Genomic DNA, 15,969 nt, shown 5'->3' with positions numbered 1-15,969 from the left:
TAGAGACTGGGTTTCATCATGTTGGCCAGGCTGGTCTTGAGCTCCCAACCTCAGGTGATCTGCCTGCCTCGGCCTCCCGAAGTGCTGGGATTACAGGCATGAGCCACCGTGCCCAGTCAATCCTAGACATTTTATACTTGTTTGTGCTTTTAATCTTCACAAGGCTGTCAAGTAAACATTATTCACTGTACAGCTACGAATAAGGAGACGGTGCTATATTGGGGTGAAGTGCCTTACCCAAGGCTCACAGGCCTGGCTCCTAGACCACTCAACTCCCATGTTCTAACCAGAGGCTTCCAGCATCACGGGTAGTAGAGGGGAGTGGTGAGAGTTGGGTGGGGAAGGGCCAGTGAGGCAGGAGCCTGAAAAGGTAGGTTGGTGCCCATCAATGCCATCTCACACCAATGGTTTGACTCTCATTGTTAAAGACTTTTCTTTTCTTTTCTTTTTTTTTGAGACAGGGTCTCATTCTGTCACCCAGGCTGGAGTGCAGTGGCGTGATCTCAGCTCACTGCCACCTCTGCCTCCCGGGTTCAAGTGATTCTCCTGCCTCAGCCTCCTGAGTAGCTGGGATTATAGGCGCACACCACTACCACCTGGCTAATTTTTGTATTTTTAGTAGAGACGGGGTTTCACCATGTTGGCCAGGCTGGTCTTGAACTCCTGACCTCAGGTGATCCGCCCACCTCGGCCTCCCAAAGTGCTGGGATTACAGATGTAATCCCACGGTGCCCAGCCTCTCACTGTTGAAGACTTTTTTAAAAACTGAACTATGACATATAGGTAGAGAAGTACACACATCACAGCTTGATGAAATGTCTACAGACTGAATGCATCCAGCTCCCAGATGAAGAAATGAAACATTCCCAAGTCCTCGGAACCCCTGCTTGCTTCCTCCAGCCTCCGCTGGCCCCGAGGGTCACTGCTACCCTGACTGACACCATGGATTTGCTGGATCTGTTTGTGCTTCAGGTTCAAGGACTCCTACAGCCAAGGCTTGTTTGGTATCTTTTTTGATTTTAAAAAGAGGACACTTTGGCCAGGCGTGGTGGCTCCTGTAATCCCAGCACTTTGGGAGGCCGAGGTGGGCGGATCGCCTGAGGCCAGGAGTTCAAGACCAGCCTGGCAAACATGGTGAAACCCCATCTCTACTAAAAACACAAAAATTAGCCGGGTGTGGTGGTGTGTGCCTGTAATCCCAGCTACTCGGGAGGCTGGGGCAGGATAATTGATTAAACTTGGGAGGTGGAGGTTGCGGTGAGCTGAGATTGCGCCATTGCACTCCAGCCTGGGCTACAAAGTGAGACTCTGTCTCAATCAATCAATGGCCGGGCCAGTGGCTCACACCTGTAATCCCAGCACTTTAGGAGGCCGTGGCGGGTGGATCACCTCAGGTCAGGAGTTCAAGACCAGCCTAGTCAACATGGTGAAACCCCATCTCTACTAAAAATACAAAAATTAGCTGGGCCTGGTGGTGGGCGCCTATAATCCCAGCTACTTGGGAGGCTGAGGCAGGAGAATCGCTTGAACCCAGGAGGCAGAGGTTGCAGGGAGCTGAGATTGCGCCACTTTACTCCAACCTGGGCGACAGAGTGAAGCTCTGTCTCTAAACAAATAAATAAAATAAAAAATAAATGAATACATAAAAATAAAAAGATGACACTTTGACTTCGATGTTTGGCCCTAAACGAAGCAATCAGCATCTGTTCCTCCCAGAGTCAGAATTTAATCTGTGGATCAGAGGGCTGTGCTGTGGGAACCCACCGGCTCTGCATGCTGGCCTCACACCCTGGGCAAGAGGGGAGGTGTGGGAAATGGCACTAACAAGGTGCTCACCAGCGGGGAGAGCTCCCTCTCATGCGGGGTCCTCTTAGCTGGACACTCCGAGATCCCCTCTCAGCAATGCTGTTATTTTTAAACATTTTATTTTTATTTTTAATTTTTTAGAGACAGAGTCTTGCTCCAACACTCAGGCTGGAGGGCAGTGGTACAGTCATGGCTCACTGCAGCCTTGAGTTCCTGGGCTCAAGTGATTCTCCTGCCTCAGCCTCCCAAGTAGCTGGGATTACAGGTGCACATCTCTGCAGCCAGCGATGCTATATTTTTCAGATCACAGGTTCCCACATGCTGGAGACTGATCGTGTTTCACTCCTGTTTGCTTCCTAGGGGGCTCAGAGCTGATTTGCAGCCCATCTTGATGTGCCTCATGGCTACTGATCTCATCCCTGCATTCTTCTCCTCCTGCTTCCACCAGCTTTATTAAGGTATCATTGACAAATAAAAAGTGTATATATTTGCAGTATATAACGTGATGCTTTGATGTATGCATACATTGTGAAATGACTAAATCAAGCTAATTAATATCCATCATCTCAGATACTTATCTTTTTTTTGTTGTTGTTACGAACGTGAGTAGCTAGGACTATAGGTGCAAGCCACTGCACCCAGCTGTGGTGGGAACATTTAGGATCTATCTCTTAGCAGTTTTTAGGCATGCAGTAATACATGATTGTTAACTATATCGCCAGGTTGTACAATAGCTCTCCAGAAGTTATGCGCCCTGAGTGACTTGCGTTCATCTTGTTATTTAAACCCTTATTTGCCACCTCCTCTGTGGATGCTTTTTATCTAATTGAATAGCAACTGGCTCAAATGCTCAGTAAGGTGGGAGCAGGGTACACACAAATAGATACATGCATAAAGCTATGGGTAATGATCGCTATTAGATCACACGGCCTCTGGCACTGGTTTTTGGAAACGACACCCAACCAGTGGTGTCTCAGAATGAGGCTTCACAAACCTTAATGTGGACTCAAACCATTTGGGGATCTTGCTAGTGTGCTGACTTTGAATCAGTAGGTTTGGGATGGGGCCTGAGATGCTGTGTTCCTAAGGAAGCCCAATTCTCTGGTCCTTGAATGCCCTTTGAGCAGCCAGGCCTTGAAAATTGTAAGAACTTTTTTTTTTTTTTTTTTTGAGAAGGAGTCTCACTCTGTCACCCAGGCTGGAGTGTAGTGGGGCCATCTAGGCTCACCCCAACCTCCGCCTCCTGGGTTCAAGTGATCCTCCTGCCTCAGCCTCCCAAGTGGCTTGGATTACAGGTGCATGCCACCACGACTGGCTAATTTTTGTATTTACTTTAGTAGAGATGGGGTTTCACCATGTTGATCAGGCTGGTCTCGAACTTCCTACCTCAGGTGACCCGCTCACCTTGGCCTCCCAGAGTGCTGGGATTACAGGCGTGAGCCACCACTCCCGGTAAGAACGTTTACATTCCCAGAACCATTTTTGCCTCAGGTTCCTCACTATCACCTTCTTAATTCCATCTAATGGCATGTGATACTCATCCCCAAAAGACACCAACAAAGCCAAAATCACAGATTTCTAGGTTGATGGAACAGGGGCCGCCTAGGAGACCTGTTTCCACCAGCTCTTAATTCAAATGTGTTCTGTTACCTAGCATTTCCCTACCCATCCGTTAAGATTGGTTACTTACTTCATCGGGGAGCTCAAGGATAGTAATATTTTTGGAACGAAATGTGATTTCAAAAGTGATCACCAGGGTTGCATTTAATGGTGGCCTGTGGAGGACAAGAGTCTAATTACTGCTGAGAAGCTGGACAGTGAGATCTCAACCAACCCTCTGGATTTCACATCTGGCCTTCAACTCTCAAGCAGTTAGGCTTAGGAAATGCTAGGTGCTCCACCCTGATGGGTAGCCAGGTGGAAATCGTGCTCCCGTAGGCCTTCCTGTCTTAATCAGGAGACCAGGTGTCTGTCCCTTCAGGGTAGGGTGAGAACAGAGAAGAAAGCAAGGTGGGTGTGAATGACAAATGAGGCATCTGGAGGCCCAGGACCGTGGCTCCCTGCTCCGGTGGGAAAGGCTTCCCAGAGAGTCGGGTCTGAGTGGGGCCTTGTGTGAGGGCCAGCATTTGACTGAAGGAGGAGAGGGCTCAGGCAGGGAATGAGGAGGGAGCAGTCCGGACTTGGAAAGCTGGGAGAGGCATCTGACGGGAGAAGGCAGATGTGCTGGCTGGAAGCCGTCTTCTGGGCCCTGGCCCTGGGTTTAGAGGCCTGGAGTTAATCTGAAAGGCAGTGGGAGGCCACTCCAGGGGCCTGGACAGTTGTGGTAAGAGATGACTTGTAAGATTTGCAGGGGGAGGGTGTGCAGAGACAGAAGGAGCTGGGAGCGGAATGGCAGGCCTGCTAGGGGCCTCGGAACCAAAGCTTTGCTTTCAGGCCAGATCTCGCAGGAGAGGCGAGGAAGGGGGAAAGGCATAAAGAGAGAAGGAGAGGGTTCTAGGTCTTCTTCATCAGGGAATCCTCACGGCTGGGAGGCAAGGGAAGGACAAAGCAGCTAAGAGCAGAGAAGGCAGAGGCAGCCTCCCTGGCACAGACTGGACTAGGTCGCGACGTTTGTGCCTAAGCCAGCAGGTGGCAGCAAGTGAGACTCCCAGACAAGGCCCAGCATGAGCGGCATTCACCCGACGTGGCCACTCCTGCTTCTGAAAGCAACCTCAGAAGTGCCAACCAGCAGCTCAGCTCCCTGCCCCTTGACCTTCAGGGCTCTCTTCAAATACTTAGTCTTAGAAAGAATCGCTTTGAAATCTGGCCTCAACACCGGTCACACAGGACTCTTCCCATGCGGGGAAAAGACGCACGTCTCTGGGAGAAGCACCCCTTCCTTCTCCTGCCAGGGAAAGTGAGGACTCAGGGTGGGGGTCAGCCTTTGCGATCCCATCCTGCAGCCCGGGGCTAGCACCATCCCTTTTTCTAGGGCTTGTCTTACAGGTAAGAGGCAAGAATAGCGCATCTGAAATCTGAACAGACTGAGCCAGGGGTCAGCCCTGACCCAGCTGCGGGGCCTGAGCGGAGCTGAGCACAGCGCCAGGCCCAGGAACTTACCGCAGGGTGAGGCTGACGTTGGTCGAGCTGCCGTTCTCCAGCTTTACGACAGGAGGAACAGTGAGGCTGACGCTTGACTCTGGAAGGACCCAAATCAATGACATGAGGCACTGGGTCAGAGTTCAGGCCTGTGACAGAAAACTGGGCCGAAACCCCTGACATCTGAACTCCTGAGCTCTGACTCTCTGACGAGCCCTATTCTGTGATGGGACTGCAAACACAGGCCCTGGTTAGCTTCCTTCCCCACCTGCTGCCAGAGACAGAGATGGAGGAAAACAGGCCTGAGCAGGAAACGCCGGAGCGTCCTCCTCCCGCTGCGATGACAGGCTCTGAGAGTCTGCGGCTGAGTTAACCAGAGATTGTTAGAGAACCATGGAGCCCAAAAATCATTACAGGGGAATTCCAGCGTGACCTGGGAGCGTAAAAGGCAGCCGTGAACCACCTCTTCAGATGAAAGCACAGGGGTCTCCTCTGTTCATGAAGTCAAAATGGTCCTGAAGAACTGGGCCAGCCCCTTTCCTGCACTCTCAGAGAGACACATGGGCCCAGCTAATGAGTTTCTAAGGAGCCCTTTGGGGTCCCTTCCCAACCCAGCTCACCCTGGCACTGGTCCCCTTCCTGGGGCTGACTATCTGCGGGGTACTGGAGGAGGAAGGGTGAATAGTTGTTTCACTCTGAGATTTCTTCTTGGCATTAAGCTGTTAACTCAGAATCAAGTTGACAAACAGGCCCCCAGATGAGGGAAGAAGCAGATCTGGGTCTTAGGGTCTTAGAAAACCATCGTGGGGCTGGGCGTGGTGGCTCACGCTTAGAAACCTGGCGCTTTGGGAGGCCAAGGCGGGAGGACTGCTTGAGCCCAGGAGCTGGAGATCAGCCTGGGCAACACAGAAAGACTCTGTTTCTACAGAATATTTTCTTAAAAAAAGAAAGAAAACTGGGCAGGCGTGGTGGCTCATGCCTGTAATCCCAGCCTTTTGGGAGGCCGAGGCAGGTGGATCACGAGGTCAGAGGATCAAGACCGTCCTGGCCAACATGGTGAAACCCTGTCTCTACTAAAAATACAAAAAATTAGCTGGGTTTGGTGGCATGCACCTGTAGTCCCGGCTACTTTGGAGGCTGAGGCAGAGAACTGCTTGAACCTGGAAGGCAGAGGTTGCAGTGAGCTGAGATCGCTACTGCATTCCAGCCTGGGCAACAGAGCGAGACTCCATCTCAAAAAAAAAAAAAAAAGAAAGAAAACCCTCTTGCAAGGCCAACTAGCCCAGAGCACCGGACTGAGTAAGCCTCTCTTTGTGTGCTTCCTGTATTCTTTGTGCAGCCCCGTCCCAGCCTCTGCTCCCAGGGGTACTGGAAGGCTCATGCCACACCTGCCATCTCACTTCCCCTGCCTGATTGCCTTCAGGGTTACACACAGCCTGGGGTTATGGTCATGACTCTAGGCCGGGCGGGGAAGCAGGTGCATGACTGTGATGAGGAGCGTCTTTGCAACGGCAGAGGCTGCCAGCATGCCCGGTTCCCCGACCCAGACCCCGTCACTCAGACCCCCCAGGCCCAGTTCCCCCCACCCAGACCCTGTCACTCAGACCCCTCAAAGGCAGATGAATTGAGATCTGAAATTTTAGACGCTTGGGTTGGAAGGAAACTTTTTTTTTTTTTTTTTTTTGAGACAGAGTCTCGCTTTGTTGCCCAGGCTGGAGTGCAGTGGCATGATCTTTGCTCACTGCAACCTCTGCCTCCTGGGTTCAAGTGATTCTCCTGTCTCAGCCTTCCAAGTAGCTGGAATTATAGGCATGCAGCACCACGTCTGGCTAATTTTTGTATTTTTAGTAGAGATGAGGTTTCACCATGTTGGCCAGGCTGGTCTTGAACTCCTGACATCAGGTGATCTGCCTGCCTTGGCCTTCCAAAGCGCTGGGACTACAGGTGTGAGCCACCATACCTGGCCCGGAAGGAAACTTAAAGTTACCCAATTTGACCTCTGATTCTCCGCCTCAATACTCCTACCTGGTAGTTTCTCTTCCTCTGTAACCTCGTCTCCTCTAAGGAGATCACAGCCTGAAGCTTGCCCTGCCAGGCCAGGCTCTGCTACCCAGAGCCTCTCAGACCCTGAGAGCTGCCTTCTCCATGCTCAGCACATGTGAATACAGATGGAAGCTCTGTCCCAAGTCCGTAGGTCCCCACAGTCCACAATCTCCAGTCCCCTGCTGGCTGGCTGGGCTCCTCAGAACAGGATGTCCCCTGGCCCTTGCAGAGGCCAAGGTGCTCAGAGCGGCAAAAGGCAGTCCCTTCCTTATGTGGAGCCTCAGAGCCTGGAAGCCGCTGTGGCGAGTCTGCCCTTCTTTTTCAGGCTCACTGTTCTGAGGTCATTCTGAGGATTTCTTCTGGGCTTGCATAGCTGGGACTTCCTGTACCACCAGTTCAATTCTGCCTAGAGCTGAGGACCATGCCAGATAAGCAAGTCCCACAACCAGCCACTGCTCAGGACAGGATGCTGAAAGTGATGCTGGGCGGCCAGCCAGACTCTGGATCCCTAGGGCTCTGCCAGAGGTAGTGGAGGTCAAGGTGAGTGGGAGATCTACATGGCTACAGAGCTCCTACAATCTTTGCATATAGGAGGTTGAGGGCCGGGCACAGCGGCTCACACCTGTAATCCTAACACTTTGGGAGGCCGAGGTAGGTGGATCACCTGAGGTCAGGATTTGGAGACCAGACTAGCCAATATGGCGAAACCCCATCTCTACCAAAAAGACAAAAAATTAGGCCGGGCGCGGTGGCTCAGGCCTGTAATCCCAGCATTTTGGGAGGCCGAGGCAGGTGGATCACGAGGTCAGGAGATAGAGACCATCCTGGCTAACATAGTGAAACCCTGTCTCTACTAAAAATACAAAAAATTAGCTGGGCGTGATGGCAGGCGCCTGTAATCCCAGCTACTCGGGAGGCTGAGGCAAGAGAATCACTTGAACCCAGGAAGCGGGGGCTGCAGTGAGCTGAGATTGCGCCACTGCTCTCCAGCCTGGGTGACAGAGTGAGACTCCGTCTCAACAAAATAGAATAAAATAAAAAAATAAAATAGGAGTTTGTGAACACTCCAAGAACCAGACCAGAGAATGTTTATTCCCTCCTTCTTTAGCACCACAGAAAACTGAGGTGCTCAGCAACTGAGATATTGGGCTCCAAAGTCACGCAGTTCCATCCTGGCTCTGACACTTCCTAGCTGTGTGACCATGGGTAAGGTACTTACCCTCTCTGAGCCTCCATTTCCTTATCTGTACAGTGGGGAGAATACCAAGACCTATCTGAATGAGTCATGGTGAAGATACAATGTAGCAATGTTTGTAACATGTTTTCCACAAAGCCCAGATGCTAAATAATTGTTACTATTATTATCATCACATGATAACTGCAGGATATTTTTAGCCCAAGGTGGGAGGCAGTTAGGAAGCTGGCCCCCCAAGTCTAAAATCTTTACATTGTATCAGATTTACAAAATGAGTCACAACACCATCCTGAGTTCCTCCTAAAGAGAGTGATCATGGCTCACTGCAGCTTTGACCCCGCCAGGCTCAAGCCATCCTCCCACCACTGCCGCCTCTCACCTCAGTAGCTACGAACACAGGCATGCACCACCACACCCAGCTAATTAAAAAAAAATTTTTGGCCGGGTGCGGTGGCTCACGCCTGTAATCCCAGCACTTTGGGAGGCTGAGGCGGTCAGATCACTTGAGGTCAGGAGTTTGAGACCAACCTGGCCAACATGGTGAAACTCTGTCTCCACTGAAAATACAAAAATTAGCCGGATGTGGTGGCGCACGTCTACAAACCCAGCTACTTGGGAGGCTGAGGCACTAGAATCGCTTGAACCCGGGAGGCAGAGGTTGCAGTGAACTGAGATCACGCCACATTGCACTCCAGCCTGTGCAACTGAGTGAGAATCCGTTTAAAAAAAAATTTTTTTTTGTAGAGATGGGGTCTCACTATGTCGCTCACGCTGGTGTCAAATTCCTGTGCCCAAGTGATCCTCCCTCTTTGGCCTCCCAAAGTGTTGGGATTACAGGTATGAGCCACCATGCTTGGCCAGGTTTTTAAAATTAATTCTTATAGGCCTCTCTCCCACTCTGCACCTACCCAATACCAGCTACTCTGCTATACACCGAGCTCCCATTTTCTAATTATTACAAAAGTGAGAGGTAGGCATTTTTTTTTGTTTTTGAGACAGAGTCTTGCTCTGTCGCCCAGGCTGGAGTGCAGTGGCACGATCTCGACTCACTGCAACCTCTGCCTCCCGGGTTCAAGCAATTCTCCTGTCTCAGCCTCCCGAGTAGCTGGGACTATAGGCGCCCGCCACCACGCCCGACTAATTTTTTGTATTTTTGGTAGAGACGGGATTTCACCATGTTAGCCAGGATAGTCTCGATCTCCTGACCTTGTGATCCACCCTCCTTGGCCTCCCAAAGGGCTGGGATTACAGGCGTGAGCCAACGCGCCAGGCCGAGGTAGGCATTATTATTCCTATTTTACATTTCAGGAAACTGAGCATTCTAAGAGGAAAGGTTTCTTGCCCACACAGCTTGAAAATGGTGAGGGCAAGATTCAAACTTAGGCCTGTCTAGTCCAAAGCCCAGGTTCTTGCCATGAGGCTGCACTGCCTCAAGATTCCACCCAGAGAAGTCAGAGACAGACAAGTCTGAAGGCCAATCATCTCATCTGTGGTCCTTCATAATTACTACCCAAAGCAAAGAGAAGAAAGAAACAGCAAGGGCAGAATGAGGTTGGAGATTCAATTCCAGTGACTTGATTTTATGGTGGCTTCCATTCTTCTTTCCTTTTTTCTTTTTGAGATGGGGAATTGCTCTGTCACCCAGGCTGGAGTGCAGTGGCGTGATCTCAGCTCACTGCAACCTCCTGCCTCCCGGGTTCAAGCGATTCTCCTACCTCAGCCTCCTAAGTAGCTGGGCTTACAGGCGCTCGCCACCATGCCCAGCTAATTTTGTATTTTTAGTAGAGACGGGGTTTCACCATGTTGGCCAGGCTGGTCTCGAACTCCTGACCTCAAGAGATCCACCCACCTTGGCCTCCCAAAGTGCTGGGATTACAGGCGTGAACTACAGCACCTGGCCCATTCTTTTCTAATGGCATTCAGGAAAGGAGGCAAAGTGATCTCATGCAGCAGGGATCCTATGCAGGTCCCAGCTTTGTTACTTTCTAGCTGTGTGACTTTGGGGAAGCCTTCTACCCTCTCTGGGCCTGCTTCCCCTCCAGGTAACTGGAGTGGTGGTAGCTGGATTTTTTGTTTTTCTCCTAGGGGAGCGTGTTAGCATTACTAATGGGGCTTTAAAGAGTATGTATGAGCGACTGGGCACACACACACACACACACACACGCCCGGGCACACATACATGCACGCAGACACACACCCAGGCACACACACACACGCCCAGGCACACACACACACACACACGCCCGGGTACACACACACACACAGGCCCAGGCAAATACACGCGCGCGCACACTCCCAGGCACACGCACATGCTCCAGCCTCAGTCTTACAAAGTCTGATCCTACAGGGTGGGGACAGGGTTCTGACGTCTGTATTAAGAAACACCAGGTTCCAGGGTCTGAAAGACCTGCCTTTCCCGGAAATTGCTTATCCACAAAGTGTGACTACAAACATTACTGATTGTTTAACAAACCTGGAAGAGATGATCACGTGACCATGTTTCCTCAGAGATGCAAGAGGCCAGATAACGGCAATGGTGCTAGGCTCTGGGGAAACCTCTGCAGGATTTGTATTGTTTGTCAAGGTTCACTTGAAATGGGAATTTAAGGTATCTGGGCCAGGCACGGTGGCTCATGCCTGTAATCCCAGCACTTTGGGAGGCCAAGGCAGGCGAGCCACGAGGTCAGGAGCTCAAAACCAGCCTGGCCAACATGGTGAAACCCCATCTCTACTAAAAATACAAAAAACTAGCTGGGCGTAGTTGCGGGTGCCTGTAATCCCAGCTACTAGGGAGGCTGAGGCAGGAGAATTGCTTGAACCCGGGAGGTGGAGGTTGCAGTGGGCTGAGATCGTGCCACTGCACACCAGCCTCAGCGACAGAGTGAGACTCTGTCTCAAAAAAAAAAAAAAAAAAAAAAAAATATATATATATATATATATATATATGTATCTGATTTTTGTATTTGACCCAAGAGGCAAGCTGAGGATCAAATGAATGGGCCTGGCACCTTTGAAGTGCTAAACATGGCTCTTTATGGAAGGAATTCCAGAGATGTTTTGGGCAGTGGGAGAATTGCTAGAAGGGCACGGGCCTCAAAGAGGCCTGCACTGAAGGTCATTCCTCCTACAAGGACGTGTAAACTCCATCCCAGCCTGTGTTCCAACTGACCCCTAGCCCTGCTGGGCTGTTGCACCCTGTTCCTCAGCCCCTCTCTAAGGGACAGGTTTTCTCATCTTACAAGGGGATGCTGGGCAGACTCCTCAGGTGATCTGTGCCTGGCAGAACCGGGTACAACAGGGTGGCTACCTCTTCTGCTTCCCCAGTGTTTCCCAGGACCCAAGACTCTCTCTGTGAGGTCCACAGGGCAGAGGCATAAGCCATTCTTCTTTTTTTTCTTTTAAAGTCAGGGTCTCAACTCTGTTGCCCAGGCCGGAGTGCAGTAGTGTGATCATAACTCACTGTAGCCTTGACTTCCTGGGCTCAGGCAATCTTCCTGCCTCAGCCTCCCAAGTAGCTAGGACTATAGGCACGAGCCACTGCATATGGCTAATTTTTAAAAATTATTTTTTAGTAGACATGGGGTTTCACTACGTTGCCCAGGTTGGTCTCAAACTCCTGGCCTCAAGAGATCTTCCTGCCTTGGCCTCCCAAAGCTCTGGAATTATAGGCGTGAGCCACTGCTCCAGCCTGAGCCAGTCTTTAAGATATTATCCCAGGTTGTTGGAGCTCTACCGTTTGACTTTGAGAATCAGCTGCATAGTCTGACCTTAAGAACCAGCTGTTCACTTTGGTACAGAAAGGTACAGAGATACCAGGGCAGAAGGCCAATTATATGTGGAACTATCTGGCTCTTTGCAGAACACCTGGATCCCAGACCTGGGTCTGCTCCACCACCCCAGTGGCCACATGGCCAAGAGGCAGACAGAGACATGTGGTCTGAATGATTCTAAACCCTTGGCAACAAACAGATCAGATTACTCCTTCCTCTAGCCACCATTTCCCTCTTTACAAAGTTGACGTGTCATTTCTAAACTTACCACATTTCTCTACGAGCTTCAGGGGAAAAAGGATAAAAATAGTCAGCCAATTCCTTATCATGTTTCTCGATTTCTCAGAACTAGGAAGAAAAACAGCAAGAGAGAAGTTCAGGGGAATGTTGAATCAGCTCAGCTCCCTGTAGACAATCTGCCCTCTGGAGCATGGATGGCTCATAAAGGACTGCCACCTGACAGCTGTGACCTCAGGGCTTTGCATCACGGCCTCAGAGGGACACCCTAGAGAGGACTTATCTTTCTTTGATATACAGGGGAAACGGGCTCCGAGCAGATAAATGGGTTGTGTAAAGTGCCCCCCTGAGGAAGTGAACAAAGACCAGAATTTTTCCCTCTTCAATTGCTTTTTGTAAAAACTTAGTTAGCAGAAAGAAAGAATGCAATTTTACTGGCTTGAGATTCTTTTTCTCCAAAAGTTGTTAAAACTGTGGTCAGATATTTGACATTGTGAACCTATAAACCTCAAGGAAATTAATTTCCTTTCCTGTCCTGGGATAAGAGTCTAAGGGCTGATGACACCAACTGACCCTTAAGACTTAAAAAAACATTTTTTTTTAATATACATATTTAAATTTTTTTTTTTTTGAGACAGAGTCTTGCTCTGTTGCCCAGGCTGGAGTGCAGTGGTGCGAACTCTGTTCACTGAAACCTCCACCCCCTGGGTTCAAGCAATTCTTGTGCCTCAGCCTCCTGAGTAGCTGGGATTACAGGTGCCCCCCACCATGCCCGGCTAACTTTTGTATTTTTAGTAGAGATGGGGTTTCACCATGTTGGCCAGCCTGGTCTCAAACTCCTGACCTCGAGTGATCCGCCCGCCTCAGCCTCCCAAAGTGCTGGGGTTACAGGTAGGAGCCACCGCGCCTGTCAAGACTTTATTTGACAAGTGTCACCATTCCAGGACTGGCTGGGGTCATTCACAAGGAGGACTCGGGGAGGGATGAGCCCCAGAGCAAGTCCTTGGTTTAGTGTGGAAGATGGGGAGCTGCATTCCTGTAAACCCAAGACACAGCAGGTGAACAGTGGGTCAAGAGCAGCCAGGCCGGCATGGATTTCTGTAGCTTGGTCTCCGTGCTGCCTCAGTACACAGTCTCACGGGCCTCCTGCAGACTGTGGGGAGCTCTGGGTAAGGTCTGTGTGGAGACATCCCTGTTCCCACTCTGATTTCAGTTTCCCCAAGGCCTCCAGCATCTCCGGACATCTCCCTTACACACTCCTCAAGAAGTCTCCCTGGCTGCTCCAGCTGTCTGACCTCTGTTGGCCCGTCTCCTCCAGGGTTCTCTCTTTGCCTGCTGCAGGTCTGCCTCATCTGAGACCCTTCTCACCGGCCGGGAATGACCCCGTACCTACTCTCTGGCCTCCTCTGGGGGCCTTGCTCTTGGCGCTGGATCCCTGTGCTCTGTCCCCTGACCTTGGAGGAATTGCCCTCCTGCGTGTATGGAATGACCACAGGCCTCCCTCTCACTCTTGCTGCCCTCCGCTCCTCACACCTGCCCTGTGGCCTCAAGTTCAGGATTCAGTTTGTTGCCCAGGACAGAGTCTGGTTTTTCTCCAGAAATTAGATGCAGAATCAGGCCTAACCAGCTTCTCAAACTCACAGACTTGGTCAGCAAACATTCCCAAGCCTCAAAGGCTGAGACCCCTGGAGGAACGATGCCAGCAGAGACAAAACGACATTGAGAGGTAAGTCAATTAAAATGTTAAAAAACATCAGATTAGGCTGAGCGCAGTGGCTCGTGTGTGTAATTCCAGCACTTTGGGAGGCCGAGGCAGTTGGATCACTTGAAGTCAGGAGTTCGAGACCAGCCTGGCCAACATGGTGAATCCCCGTCTCTACTAAAAATACAAAAATTAGCCAGGCGTGGTGGCATGTGCCTGTAGTCCCAGCTACTCAGGAGGCTGAGGCAGGAGAATCGCTTGAACCCGGGAGGTGGAGGTTGCAGTGAGCCGAGATTGCACCATTGCACTCCAGCCTGAGTGATAAGAGTGAAACTCCGTCTCAAATTAAAAAAAAAAAACAAAAAAAAAACCAGATTGATAATTACATACAACTAGTGGCTTGTGAAAGCTACAAGATAGAAATGAAGTATCTCCTGACAATGGGCTCTGTCTGGCGTGCCCTTCCTATGTAAGTTCTAACTATTGTCCAGGCCTCATTCAGATGTCACATGTTTCAAGAAGGCTCCTCACCCATTCAGTCCCTTCCCAGGAGCAACCTGGGGCTAGGGGTCTAGTGTGGCAGCTCCTGTCTGCCAGGTATGAGTTGGTCCTGTCCTCTGTTCTACGACCTGGAACTCCCTGGGTCTCCTGCTTTTGGAGAGGGTACACAAATAGTGGCAAGGGCTGTGTGCACTGGAGACAGGCTTGACCTATTTATTACTTATGCGACCTTGTGGTGCCAAACAAGGAGGTGGTAACTACCTCACAGGACTTAAATGAGGAGATGTAAAGCACGCATTGTCAAGTGGGACTAAAATTGGCTGGGGGTAGGCTGGGCGCGGTGGCTCACGCCTGTCATCCCAGCACTTTGGGAGGCCGAGGTGAGCGCATCACCTGAGGTCAGGAGTTCGAGACCAGCCTGGCCAACATGGTGAATCCCCATCTCTACTAAAAATACAAAAATTAGCTGGGCATGGTGGCTCAGGCCTGTAGTCCCAGCTACTCGGAAGGCTGAGGTAGGAGAATCGCTTGAACCCCGGAGGCGGAGGTTGCAGTGAGCCGAGATCGCGCCACTGCACTCCAGCCTGGGTGACAGAGGCTGCAGACTCCATCTCAAAAAAAAAAAAAAAATTGGCTTGGGGTGGTAGTGAAGAAATCTAGCTATTACAATGGTTTGTGGCCACAGAAACAAATACACAGCGTACTAGTGGTATTAAATTTTATGGGAAGGGGGTAGGTAGGAATAACGAGGTTGAGAAACAAGGATATAAAGTGGTTACCTCTGTTGCTTAGGGCGCCTAGCGAGCTCTCACAAAACACAGTAATCCTCAATGTTACTGGAAGAGGCAGAGCTCAGGAGTCCTCCCTTCGCCCAGTGTGAAAACCCGGAGGGGAGGATGGGGTCTCGTGCTGCTCAGTCCCCCGGAGCCCCGCACTCCGCACGTCAACCGGCGCTCTCGCAAAGGTTCTCTCAGCGTCTCCAAAGCAATCTGCAAATTCCCCAACCGAGACCCAGGCGGCAACTGAGCAGAAGGTAAGGGGCTGGGAACGGCACCCACCCCGGCAGCCCGCTGCCCCTGCCTCGGCTGACCACCGCTCGGGCCCTTCCACCCGGGGGTTGTCCCGTGTCGCGAGGCCAGCACTGGTGGCGGGGAAAGGAGCCCGCCGCGGCTGAGGGCGCTGGACCCCCGGCAGGCTGCCCCGCTGACCTGCTGTGCCTCAAGGGGTCCGCCTGGGAAACAGGGGAGGCCGCGTCCGCTCTCACCTGAGCGCCCCCAGGCTCGAGGAACCGCCCTCACGGGACGCATGAGCCTCGCCAGGTGCCGGTCAGGAATGCACCGCGTTCCCCTGCCCGGCTAGACTTTGGGAGAGGCGGGTCCGCTGTCACCTGACCTCCGCCACCTGACTCGTGGGGCCGGATCTCGGCGAGATGAGCTCTGGGAGTTGTAGTTTCCGCGCGTCTTAGACGGACAGAGCGCAGCTGGGTCGGGCCGGGGCGCAGAGATCGGGGCTCCGGCGTGAGGGAAGATGAGGTCCGCTGCCAGGGACACAGAGACTCTTGGAGCCGCCAGCGCCTCCCGGCTCCTTTCGTGAGCGAAGCTCAGACCGCCCTCCATTGGGCGGAAATCAGAGCCCGT

At 51.5% G+C, this 15,969-nt stretch overlaps 1 protein-coding gene and 1 long non-coding RNA gene across 14 annotated transcripts in view, besides 5 other annotated features; one reads left to right on the top strand and one right to left on the bottom strand.

The window, feature by feature from the left end:
* LOC105371493 (uncharacterized) overlaps positions 1-13,931 on the top strand; it is a 16,507-nt gene extending 2,576 nt beyond the window's left edge. For both annotated transcript variants that reach the window (XR_007065579.1, XR_001752759.2), the window contains 4 exons: positions 826-1,004; positions 2,167-2,264; positions 7,253-7,467; positions 13,343-13,931. This is a non-coding gene — a long non-coding RNA (uncharacterized LOC105371493). The remainder of the gene's footprint in view (positions 1-825; positions 1,005-2,166; positions 2,265-7,252; positions 7,468-13,342) is intronic.
* Positions 1-15,969, bottom strand: part of CTNS (cystinosin, lysosomal cystine transporter) — a 26,645-nt gene extending 10,676 nt beyond the window's left edge. For 4 of the 12 annotated variants that reach the window (XR_007065277.1, NM_004937.3, NM_001374492.1 and 1 more), the window contains exons 1-5: positions 15,597-15,668; positions 15,112-15,321; positions 12,161-12,240; positions 4,906-4,984; positions 3,497-3,581 (exon numbers count right to left, since the gene is read on the bottom strand). Coding sequence is in view for 6 of the 12 variants with exons in the window: in NM_004937.3 (NP_004928.2) it covers positions 3,497-3,581; positions 4,906-4,984; positions 12,161-12,221 (225 nt within the window). In the remaining 6 variants the exon portion in view is untranslated. Of the gene's footprint in view, positions 1-3,496; positions 3,582-4,905; positions 4,985-12,160; positions 12,241-15,111; positions 15,322-15,540; positions 15,669-15,719 lie in introns of those variants that run through there. The other 8 variants (NM_001374494.1, XM_011523692.3, NM_001031681.3 and 5 more) reach the window with 7 other exon arrangements.
* Positions 11,456-11,999: an enhancer, noted in NCBI's record as "H3K27ac hESC enhancer chr17:3543723-3544266 (GRCh37/hg19 assembly coordinates)". NCBI's record gives its function as "activates a minimal SCP1, AML or CMV promoter by ChIP-STARR-seq in naive H9 embryonic stem cells {active_cell/tissue: H9 hESC(naive)}" and the evidence as "EXISTENCE:reporter gene assay evidence [ECO:0000049][PMID:30033119]".
* Positions 11,456-12,006: a biological region, named in NCBI's record as "H3K27ac hESC enhancer GRCh37_chr17:3543723-3544266".
* Positions 11,947-12,006: a silencer, noted in NCBI's record as "silent region_8016". NCBI's record gives its function as "represses an Ori minimal core promoter by ATAC-STARR-seq in GM12878 lymphoblastoid cells {active_cell/tissue: GM12878}" and the evidence as "EXISTENCE:reporter gene assay evidence [ECO:0000049][PMID:35858748]".
* Positions 15,303-15,392: a silencer, noted in NCBI's record as "silent region_8015". NCBI's record gives its function as "represses an Ori minimal core promoter by ATAC-STARR-seq in GM12878 lymphoblastoid cells {active_cell/tissue: GM12878}" and the evidence as "EXISTENCE:reporter gene assay evidence [ECO:0000049][PMID:35858748]".
* Positions 15,673-15,922: an enhancer, noted in NCBI's record as "active region_11511". NCBI's record gives its function as "activates an Ori minimal core promoter by ATAC-STARR-seq in GM12878 lymphoblastoid cells {active_cell/tissue: GM12878}" and the evidence as "EXISTENCE:reporter gene assay evidence [ECO:0000049][PMID:35858748]".

Source organism: Homo sapiens, chromosome 17, assembly GCF_000001405.40.
Source record: "Homo sapiens chromosome 17, GRCh38.p14 Primary Assembly".
Lineage (NCBI taxonomy): Eukaryota > Metazoa > Chordata > Mammalia > Primates > Hominidae > Homo > Homo sapiens.
Note: the sequence above shows the minus strand (reverse complement) of the source record. Positions and strands in the feature narration are given on the sequence as shown.